Below are 11,347 nucleotides of genomic sequence, written 5' to 3'. Positions count from 1 at the left end.
TTGGTTTTAAGCGCAAACTGGAGCAGGTGAATCAACTCTAGTTGCTAGCTATCATCTTTGCAAGGACTGAAACAACAAAGGGAGGTGGTAGTTACCTGAATCCAGGAGCTGCAGTTACCTGGCCAGTCACCTGCCCCCACCCCCCACCATGGTGGGGAATACCTAATGGGACTGAGACCACAGAGGAGGCACAGCAGCCATGGCTAGAGACACTCAAAGTGGAGGGGGGGAAATTCTCTGGCTTCTCCTTTCTTGGCACCCTCCAATCTGCCTGTAGACCTCCCATTGGCTGAGCCTAACCAGATGCAAAGAAGCCTGGGAAATGTAGTGTGTAGAGAACCTGAGAAAGATAATTTGCAGGAGCCATTGCCCTGATACAGAGGGGAGCAGGGGGAAAGTGGGGAATAGATCTAAGTGCATATCGACCAAATTCCAACCATATAACACAGGCTGTAGCTTAGTTGTAACTGTGATCGTCTTAGTGACCAGAGCCCAAGGAGGACACTGTTCATGGTCCTGAAATGCAGCATTCATGAGTCAAGAGTGCTGACTCTTGACCGTGAGACCCACTCTTGGTCAAGAGCTTGTGGGTCCTACCAACCAATGTCCTCCTTTTATGCAATGCCAACTGCAGGCTTGGCCTGAAGGGCCCACAAAGGACTGTCTCCCATTTGGGAAAAGGAGATAGAAGAATAGGATGGGTGCGGTGGCTCATGCCTGTAATCCCAGCACTTTGGGAGGCTGAGGCAGGTGGATCACCTGAGGTCAAGAGTTCATGACCAGCCTGGCCAATATGGTGAAACCCCATCTCTACTAAAAATATGAAAAATTAGACAGGCCTGGTGGCAGGCACCTGCAATCCCAGCTACTTGGAAGGCCGAGGCGGGAGAATTCCTTGAACCCGGAAGGCAGAGGTTGTAAGCCGAGATCAAGCCACTGCACTCCAGCCTGGGTGTGACAGTGTGAGACTCCATCTCAAAAAAAAAAAAAAAAAAAAGAGATAGAAGAATAAACAGGATGTCTTCGCAGGCTCAGACTCTATTTTGTGTCCACATCCCATGATGAGTGTCCTCAACCCAGTGCATGGTTGGTTATTGCAAGGCGTGCTGGGGAGTGAGTGCTAGCTAGGTGCTCTCTTTGCTTAGAGTCACAGATGTCTCCCAATAACTGCAAAAAACAGGTCTTCTAAGAGGGGGAAAGCTTTTTCCCTAAGGTCACATGGCCAAGAAGTGGCAGCACCAGGGTTGAACCCAGATCTGTGGGTCACCAAGCTCTTTCTCATTGACCTGACAAAACCATCATCGACATGTTTTATCCCCAGTAGGGTTGAGACAGGAATGATCCAGGGTGGTCACAGGCAGCCGTTTCACATGACTAGAGGCTATGGGCTGATAAGATCCTGAAAACCAGGGTGTGGACCAAGCTGGCTAAGACCTACTGGACCCAACATGGCGTTACATTCTACCTAGGTTTCACCTAGGATCTCATTATGTACTCATTAAAATACTAAAATTACCCACCCACCAGCGCCCTTGACAATTCCAGGGACACCCAAATTTGGTGTAAAAGTGGGTGGCACCACAGTCCACCTTTTTCCAGTTTTCATGAATATTCCATCCCTTGGTTAAAGAGATACACAGTGGCCTGTTGTGGTGGCTCACGCCTGTAATCTCAGCACTTTGGGAGGCCAAGGCGGGTGGATCACGAGGTCAGGAGTTTGAGACCAGGCTGGCCAATATGGTGAAACCCTGTCTCTACTAAAAACACAAAAAATTAGCCGGCTGTGATGGCGCACACCTGTAATCCCAGCTACTCAGGAGGCTGAGGCAGGAGAATTGCTTGAACCTGGGAGGCAGAGGTTGCAGTGAGCCGAGATCACACCACTGCACTCCAGCCTGGGTGACAGAGCGAGACTTTGTCTCAAAAAAAAAAAAAAAAAAAAAAAAAAAGAGACACATAAAGGTAGCAGTCCCAAACCACCTTGCCCATCTCTCTCTCTTAAGTACGCCCACTCCCTTTTCTCAAGTGTGGACTTTTCCCTTAACAAAAAAATCTCCGAACTTTTCATGATTTTCTGATTCCTCCTTGAATTCATTCTTGCGATGGTGTTAAGAGCCTGGACACCAGCTGGGGTCGAGGCCCCACCAGCGTCTGGGGAGACCCCTCCTAGCCCAACAGTATCAGGGTCACAAAAATGCCAGGCTTCCTGGCCTCGCATATTTTATGCCCGATTTCTTTCCAATCTGACTTATTTGCCCGCCCCCCTCCTCCACCTCTGCCTACATATATCCGAATCCCTAGAGGGGCTGTGGGGAGGAAAGACGACTAGGGACACTTTTTTTTTTTTTTTTTTTTTGAGACAAGGTTTGCTCCTGTTGCCCAGGCTGGAGTGCAATGGCACGATCTCTGCTCACTGCAACCTCTGCCTCCCGGGTTCAAGCGATTCTCCTGTCTCAGCCTCCCGAGTAGCTGGGATTCCAGGCATGCACCACCACGCCCGGCTAATTTTTGTATGTTTTAGTAGAGGTGGGGTTTTGCCATGTTGGCCAGGCTGGTCTTGAACTCCTGACCTCAGATGATCCACCCTCCTCAGCCTCCCAAATTGCTGGAATTACAGGCGTGAGCCACCGCGCCCGGCCTAGGGAGACTTTTGGAGGAGTGAGAGGCAGAGAAAGGCTGGAAAGCCTCCCGAAAGTGAGGCTAGACAAGGACGCCCTTCATATGCAAATGGCTTCGCGTGGAGGCGGTGTTAATATTTTGATTCTCTCGGGGGATGTGGTCTTTCATCTTGGGCTATTGAAACAGGGAGCGAAGAGAAACTCTTCCAGGTGTGGCGGAGGCGGGGAGGCTTCCAGCGGGAGGACTGGTGGGGAAATGGGGCGCCCGGGGAGAGTGAAAACGAGACGCCCCTTTTTGAGGCCAAGCCCACCCACGTGGCCATTTCCATTGGCCTCTTGCCTGATTCTCGGTCTCCTGTCCCCCCAACCTCAATTTTTTCCTCTTATTCCCCGTCTCCATCTATGCCTCACCCCTCTTGTCCTGGCATTGACCCCTCCTCCAACTTCCAATTTCAGATTCTGCCTCAGTTTCCCTGTTGACTCTTGAGTTTTTAGGGAGGGGGCGTTCATCATTTCCCCTCTCTGCTACCAGGCCTTCCTCCTATTCCTCTCCCCCAACCATTCGTCCCCGTCCCACCTGCAACGTGGGAAATGCCCCCGGAGGGTGAAATTTACAAACACGTGACGGGCACCCCTCCCCCACCTCCGCGACCCGCTCCCGGAATGGCCTGGGGGTTGGGGGGCGCTGCCAAGTCCTGTCCTCAGGTCCCCTCGCCGGCGCTGGCTCCCCCACTTCCCCGCCCCCACCCCCCCACCCGACCCTGCTCGAGCTGCTCCCGAAGAGGAGCTGGGGGCGGGGCGGGGGGCGGAGCCCGCAACAAAGACTCGGAGCGAGCGAGGGGGCGGGGGTGGGGCGGAATCCCGGCCGCCGGCGAGGCGGGGGAGGCGGCGGCGCAGGGTCGCCCCGGCCGGGCGGGCGGGGTCGCGCCTGGTGGCGGTCCCCGCGCCGAGGCGCCGCTAGGGCGGGCGGGGGTCGGGACGCCGGGCTAGGGGCGCGTCATGTGGCCGCTCACGGTCCCGCCGCCGCTGCTGCTGCTGCTGTGCTCAGGCCTGGCCGGACAGGTAGGGGCCCGGCGGGCAGGTGCGGGCGCGGGTGGCTCCGGGAGAGGAGGGGGGCGCGGAGGGTTCCCGGAGAAACGGGGTTGGGAGGCTCCACAAGCCCCCCCAGCTGCAGGGCGGCGAGGGGCGGGGGTCGCAGCGGGGGAGGGGCCGGGACGTGCACTCTCTGGCTTGGGAGAGGACGAGGGGGGCTTCAAATCCAGCCTCAAGCTGGGCTGGTTTGGGGGGTGGCGTCTTTGGGGTTCTCAACCCCTCCATGGCCCCGAGCCCCCACCCCGCCATCTCGCTGGAGCTGAATGGGGTTGGGAGGGAAACTTCAGGGGGCATTGGAGGGGGGCGGTTGCTTACCCTTGACTTCCTCTTCGGGGCCGAGATGCCCAGTTTCTGAAGCCCTCCACTCCTCGCCTGCAGCCCCCAGTGTGGGGCAGGGGACGGGACTCACGTGAGAGTGACTGACGGGGACGCGTGTGAAATGCTGTGGGGGTGCAGGGTAAACGTGTGTGTCTTTGTGTCGTGGTTGGGTGTGACCGGGGGGAGTTTGTGTGTGTGGCGGTTGGGGGGCTTGTCCAACTAGTGCCCGAGTTGGGGTGTGATCAGTACGTGAGACAGAGTCTGTGTGTGACCGTGTCCTCATTACTGGCTCCAGATGACTGGGTGTTGTACAATACGTGTGTGGCCAGGTGTGTGGCCGTGTGAGAGCCTTGGAGTGAGCGTGTGCTATTCTGTACCTTTGGGTAAATCACTCTAAAAGGGTGTGTGTGTGTGCAAGCGCTGTGTGTGCAAACGTGTCCATCCATGCACGTGTGTGTGTGTATCTTGGTGCCTTGCTCACAACCGCACACGCCATTCATACCCTTACAGAAGCGGGTCTCCCTCCCCATGGCACCTTTCTCTTGGGCAGGCTCAGGGAGGCTTGCAAAATGTGGGGCGTCCACGCTCTCTTTTGCTATTGGAAAGCCCCTCTCCTCCTCCATCTTGGGAGTGAGAGCACCCCCAAGTTCTCAGATCTGTAGGAGTTCACAGGGAAGCTGGGATCAAAAATAATAAAATAGTCATTATGATAACAGTGATCATTCATTACGTGCTAATTTGAGAGGTGCTGTTTCAATCACACAGCACAGACTAAGGCATTTAACCCCCTCTGCCTCCTCCCTACTAGAGCATGGTATTGTTACCTCATTTTATGGATGGGGAAACTGAGGCGCAGAAAAGTTAAATCACTTGCTCAAGCTCGAGAGTGACAGAGGTGGGACTGAACCGAGGCAGTCCGGCTCCTGAGCCCACACGATTACCCTCTTGTTAAATAATCCGCTCCATGGGTGTGGACAGCGTCCGTGAAGACATTGCTAGGTGGGCTTTTAGGTAGATAGGCAGGGGAGAAACAATTTGGGCACCTTCCCCTTATCAAGAAAAGAATCAGACCCTTGTGCTCACCCCGAGGGGGGTGTTGGGAGGAATGGAGGTTAGACTCCAGATAGAAGGATTTCCAGGCCACGAGGAGAGATTGTGGGGTCCCCTCCCTCGCTCCTCCATTTCCCCACGCATCTCAGCACCCACGCGCTGGGTGGGATAGGGAGTGTGCCCAGCCCCAGGCATGAGGACACACACAATAGGTACTCAATGGATGTGTGAGCCTGAGAGAAGCCAAGAGACACACCTGGGAGACGAGAGACCAAAAGAGGCACACACTTGAGAAACCAGTGGAAAAAAAATGAGCCAGGAATCAAGTTGAATTATCCTTGACCTAGCAGAGGAGACAGAGAACCACCCCCTGTGGCTTCTCCTCCACTCCCTGCTAGGGGGGCACTAGATTTTCTGGCTTCTCACCAAGATTGGCTAGGATGCCAGAGTTTGCTGCCAGAATTGCAATTGGAGGGTGACTCCTACAGCCCCCAGGGCTGGGAGGGAGTTGCTTTGGGGGCGGGACTAACGAGGTCAGTGGAGGCGGGGCTAAAGGACAACGGGGGCGTGGCCAAATGAGGTAATCCGTTAGGGCGGGGCTGGTGGAATCCTGCCGCGGGCTGCAGTGCCTCCAGGCGGCCACCGCGGGAACTACATGGTTGTGAAACAGTCTCGGCGCCCCATACACCCCCTTGGCGTTGGCCCACCAAGCCTGGCACCCCAGGGAAGGGAGGGGTCTGCAGAGAGGATGCTCTACCCACTCTTCGCTCCCTCCATCACTTTCCAAAGACTTCTTCCCTGTCCCTGATGGGCCCAGGGGTCCTTCCTAGAAATCATTGGTTAATCCATTCAATGAACAGATATGATTATGCACTGGGGATACAGCCACCAACTGAGTCATCAAATCCCTGCTCTCCTGGAGTTGACCTAGCAGAGGAGACAGAAAAGAGCCGAATAACCATGTAATACGGTGTCGGCAACTAAATATACATATAATACAATGCAAGTAGCATGAAGAATAACAGATAAAGTATAGAAGATTAGACTGGAGCCGGGTGCTGTGGCTCACGCCTGTAATCCCAGCATTTTGGGAAGTTGAGGCAAGTGGATCGCCTGAGGTCAGGAGTTCGAGACCAGCCTGGCCAACATAGTGAAACCCTGTCTCTACTAAAAATACAAAAAATTAGCTGGGTGTGGTGGCAGGCGCCTGTAATCCCAGCTACTAGGGAGGCTGAGGCAGGAGAATTGCTTGAACCTGGGAGGCAGAGGTTGCGGTGAGCTGCGATCGCCATTGCACTCCAGCCTGGACAACAAGAGTGAAACTCTGTCTCAAAAAAAAAAAAAAAAAAAAAAGATTAGAGTGATAGCAGTCGGGCATGGAGGCTCACGCCTGTAATCCCAGCACTTTGGGAGGCCAGGGTGAGTGGATCACTTGAGGTCAGGAGTTTGAGACCAGCCCGGCCAACATGGTGAAACCCCGTCTCTACTAAAAATGCAAAAAATTAGCCAGGTGTGGTGTTGCACACCTGTAGTCCCAGCTATTCAGGAGGCTGAGGCAGGCGAATTGCTTGAACCTGGGAGGCAGAGGTTCCAGTGAGCCAAGGTCATGCCACTGCACTCCAGCCTAGGCAACAGAACAAGACTGTCTCAAAGCAAAAAAACAGAAAAAGATTACAAGGTGGGGGCTATTTGAGCCAGTGTGGTCAGGGAAGGTGTCTCTAAGGAAGTAGTGTTTCAGGTGACATCTGAAGGAGGTGAGAGAGGGAGCCTTGTGGGTGTCTGGGGGAAGAGCATTGAAGGTGGGAGGAACAGAAGGTGCAAAGGCCCTGGGGTAAGAACAAGCTTGGTGAGTTTCAGAAGCAGTGTGGACGCTGGTGTGGCTGGAGAGGTCGCGGGGAGATGAGGCCGGGGAAGCCAGACCACTTAGGAACTTGTAAGCTGTGGGCAGAAGTTTGGATTTGACCCAGAGAGCAGGAGAACAGGAAAGCAGGGCCTGTCAGAGGCATTGTCCATTCATCCAGGATCTATCCAAGATGTTCTGGGTTCTGGCCTGGGAGTGACTACCAGAGAGCTTGACAGTTCTGAGCCCCACTATTTTCCTTGTGGAAAAGATGCCTTCCTGATCCCTGCGAAGGCCTCCCTAAGATCTAGCTACATCGTTGGCACTATCTGGGTTTGGGACCAACTCTTTCCTGGGGCTTTCAGAGGATGGGGAGAAGGAATAATTCAGTTTAGATCACGTGCCTCAGGGACTTCACACTTGCTGTTCCCTCTGCCTGTGACACTGTTCCCCCTGGTAGCTATTTATCTCTGATTTCTGCTTAAATGTCACCTCCTCCAAGAGGCTCACCCTGAACAGCTAAGTGAAATAGCCCCCTGCTGCCACTCTCTGAGTGCTTACTCCGTGTTCTTTTTCTTTCTCTCTCTTTCTTTCTTTTTTTTTTTTTTTTTGAGACTGAGTCTCACTCTGTTGCCTGGGCTGGAGTGCAGTGGCGCAATCTCGGCTCACTGCAAGCTTTGCCTCACCGGTTCAAGTGATTCTCGTGCCTCAGCCTCCCGAGTAGCTGGGACTACAGGCACGTGCCACCTGATGCCCAGCTAGTTTTTGTTGTATTTTTAGTAGAGACAGGGTTTCACCATGTTGGCCAGGCTGGTCTTGAACTCCTGACCTCAGGTGATCTGCCGCCCAAAGTGCTGGGATTATAGGCATGAGCCACCACGCCCGGCCATATTTTTCTTTATAGCCCTCGTTTCCACATTTCTATGATTCTTCTATTCATTCATTCTCTGTTTCCCCACTAGAGCGGCAGTTTATCAGGGTTCAGCTAGCTTTGTTGTTTCTCCAGTGTCTAGAGCAGAGCCTGACACACAGTAGGTGCTCAAGAAATATCTGCTGAATGGATGAATGGATGGATGGATGGACCCCCTCACACACACAGAGTGTCTTTCTTTCTCAAACCACAGGATTCTTTTATCAAGAGAGTGTCAGGGGAACACTCGCTCCTGGATGGAAGGCACCAAGAAAATCCATTCTTCAGGCCAGGTGTGATGGCTGATACCTATGATCCCAGCATTTTGGGAGACCAAAGCCAGAGGGTCTCTTGAGGCCAGGAATTTGAGACCAGCCTGGGCAATACAGCAAGATCCCATCTCTACAATAACTTTTTCTTTTTATTTCTTTTTTTTTTTTTATTTTTGAGATGGAGTCTTGTTCTGTCACCCATGCTGGAGTACAGTACAGTATTGTGATGATCTCAGCTCACTGCAACCTCTGCCTCCCGGGCTCAAGAGATTCTAGTGCCTCAGCCTCCCGAGTAGCTGGGACTACAGGGGCGTGCCACCACACCCAGCTAATTTTTGTATTTTTAGTAGAGATGGGGTTTCACCATTTTGGCCAGGCTGGTCTCGAACTCCTGACATCTTGATTTGTCTGCCTCGGCCTCCTAAACTGCTGGGATTACAGGCGTGAGCCACCGTGCCCGGCCTCTGCAGTAACTTTAAAAAAAATTGGCCAGGCTTGTAGTTCTACTCAGGAGGCTGAGGTGTGAAGATCACTTGAGCCCAGGAGTTTGAGGCTGCAGTGAGCTATCATTGCACTACTGCACTCCAGCTTGGGCGACAGACTGAGACCCTGTCTCCACAAAAAAGAAAGAAAGAAAACCCATCTTCTTTACCTGTGCCTGACATTCCACCGATAGGGCACTGTTGTTTAGGGGTAAGACGATGTTCTCCTGGGGCTCCTTTAGAGCATGTAAATGTCCCAGTGGAGGGAAGTAAAAGGAAATTTAAAGACTCCGAGTTAGTGTAGGAAAGAGCCCCTTGGGGCTGGATTTAAGATTATGGAGCTTGAGCGACATCTAGTGGTCGAGTGAGGTTTGTGCAGGGACTGTGTGCGTCTGTGTGACTGGTGGGTGAATGTGTGTGGTTGTGCACCTGTGCGTGGGCGCGTGCGTATGTGGGATGGGGGTGCCCAGGTCAGGGTAAAACAGGTGAGATACTCGCCGCGGGTGCAAACATTTTAAAAAGTTGATGATGATGATGATGATGATATTTGAAACAGAGTCTTGCTGTGTCGTCCACACTGGAGTGCAGTGGTGCGATTTCGGCTCACTGCAATCTCTGCCTCCCGGGTTCAAGCGATTCTCCTGCTCAGCCTCTCGAGTAGCTGGGATTATAGGCGCACAGCACCACAGCCGGCTAAATTTTTTTTTTTTTGTATTTTTAATAGAGACAGGGTTTCACCACGTTGCCCACTCTGGTCTCGAACTCCAGACCTCAGATGATCTGCCCGCCTTGGCCTCCCAAAGTGCTGGGATTACAGGCGTGAGCCACGGTGCCGGGCCTATTTCTAAGACGGGGTCTTGTTCTGTCACCCATGCTGGAGTGCAGTGGTGCAGTCATAGCTCACTGAAGCCTCCAACTCCTGGGCTCAAGTGATTCTTCTGCCTCAGCCTCCTGAGTAGCTAGGGTGACAGGTACATGGTACAGAGTTCAGCTATAGTACAAAATTTAAGGGTATGCCCCCCAAAAAAATAAAAACCAGTAACCAAGATAAATAATATTTTAATGGAACATTTTAAGAAAAATCTAAATTGATGCAAGAAAAATCTATAATGAATAAAAACAAATTTTTAAATAAATATGGGCTCCCCCTCTGCACTTGCATAACTTGCCTCACTCTAACTTTGGCCCCATAGGCATGTGTCTGTGGTGTCATGCGTGTATGTGTATGTTTGGTGACTGTGTGCATGTTCAGGGACCATGAGCACAGGGACATGCTTGTATCATCATCACACCAGTGACTGTATCCATGTAGGCCAACCATATGGTATGTGTGGATTTCTTTCTTTCTTTCTTTTTTTTTTTGAGATGGAGTTTCGCTCTTGTTGCCCAGGCTGGAGGTCAGTGGCGCGATCTCGGCTCACCGCAACCTCTGCCTCCTGGGTTCAAGTGATTCTCCTGCCTCAACCTCCCGAGTAGCTGGGATTACGGGCATGCACCACCACATCCAGCTAATTTTGTATTTTTAGTAGAGACGAGGGTTCTCCATGTTGGTCAGGTTGGTCTCGAACTCCTGACCTCAGGTGATCTGCCTGCCTCAGCCTCCCAAAATGCTGGGATTACAGGCGTGAGCCACCACGCCTGGCCTGGTATGTGTGGGTTTCTGATGAGCCCAGTGGCTGGTGTGGGCAATGACTTTGTAGCCCCAGGATTCAGTGTTAGTGCCTGAGAGACAGTAATGTGCTGTTTTCATTTGTTCCTACATGCATGTATTCATTTATTTTATTTTATTTTATTTTATTTTATTTTGAGACGGGGTCTCACTCTGTCGCCCAGGCTGGCGTGAAGTGGTGCAATCTCGGCTCACTGCAACCTCCACCTCCCGAGTTCAAGCTCTTCTCCCGCCTCAGCCTCCCAAGTAGCTGGGACTACAGGCACACACCACCACACCCACCTAATGTTTACATTTTTAGTAGAGACAGGGTTTCTCTATATTGTTGTTCAGGCTGGTCTCAAACTCCTGACCTCAGGTGATCCACCCGCCTCAGCCTCCCAAAGTGCTGGGATTACAGGTGTGAGCCACCGCGCCCGGCCCATGTATTCATTTAGAGAGCATTCATTGAGAGCCTTCTGTATCTCAAGCGTTGTACTATGCAACAAGCACTGGGTGGTAGTTTGTGCTTTCAAGGGGTGGAGTAGATTTAACTTCTGGAGGAGTTGAGTCTGGCTGTGTTGGGAAAAAACTTGTCATGACAGGAACATTTTATTCCCATATCTAGGGAACTCTTGTCTGAGAACATTGACATGTCCTCCCTGCCAAGGTGGAAGCCCATTCTATCTCTTTTTTTCTTTTTGAGATGGGGTCTTGCCATGGTGCCCAGGCAGGCCTCGAACTCCTGGGCTTAAGCAATTCTCCTGCCTCAGCCTCCCAAGTAGTTGGGATTACAGGTGCACACCACCTCAGTGTGTCTTGCAACTTCATCCATCCAGAGTGCAGCCACAAACCAAGAAGTCACCAGGAAAGAGCAGAGAGTAGGGAGAGTAGATTCCATGAAGACTGTATACAAAAGCTTATTCTCTTTCTCTCTTTTTTTTTTTTTTAGACAGAGTCTCACTCTGTCGCCCAGTCTGGAGTGCAGTGGCACGATCTCATCTCACTGCAACCTCTGCCTCCTGGGTTCAAGCAATTCTCATGCCTCAGCCACCCAAGTAGCTGGGACTACAGGCGTGCACCACCATGCCTGGCTAGTTTTTGTATTTTTAATAGA

General features: G+C 52.3%; 1 protein-coding gene across 1 annotated transcript in view, besides 2 other annotated features; it reads left to right on the top strand.

Annotated features, from left to right (window-relative positions):
• Positions 2,450-2,952: an enhancer, noted in NCBI's record as "H3K27ac-H3K4me1 hESC enhancer chr19:10047708-10048210 (GRCh37/hg19 assembly coordinates)". NCBI's record gives its function as "activates a minimal SCP1, AML or CMV promoter by ChIP-STARR-seq in naive H9 embryonic stem cells {active_cell/tissue: H9 hESC(naive)}" and the evidence as "EXISTENCE:reporter gene assay evidence [ECO:0000049][PMID:30033119]".
• OLFM2 (olfactomedin 2) overlaps positions 3,469-11,347 on the top strand; it is an 82,798-nt gene continuing 74,919 nt past the window's right edge. The window contains exon 1 of the mRNA NM_058164.4: positions 3,469-3,680. Coding sequence (NP_477512.1) covers positions 3,618-3,680 — 63 coding nt within the window. The 5' untranslated portion in view covers positions 3,469-3,617. The remainder of the gene's footprint in view (positions 3,681-11,347) is intronic.
• Positions 3,619-4,213: an enhancer, noted in NCBI's record as "H3K4me1 hESC enhancer chr19:10046447-10047041 (GRCh37/hg19 assembly coordinates)". NCBI's record gives its function as "activates a minimal SCP1, AML or CMV promoter by ChIP-STARR-seq in naive H9 embryonic stem cells {active_cell/tissue: H9 hESC(naive)}" and the evidence as "EXISTENCE:reporter gene assay evidence [ECO:0000049][PMID:30033119]".

This window comes from Homo sapiens, chromosome 19 (genome assembly GCF_000001405.40).
Source record: "Homo sapiens chromosome 19, GRCh38.p14 Primary Assembly".
In the NCBI taxonomy this organism is placed as follows: Eukaryota; Metazoa; Chordata; class Mammalia; order Primates; family Hominidae; genus Homo; species Homo sapiens.
This window is presented reverse-complemented; position numbering and strand designations above follow the sequence as displayed.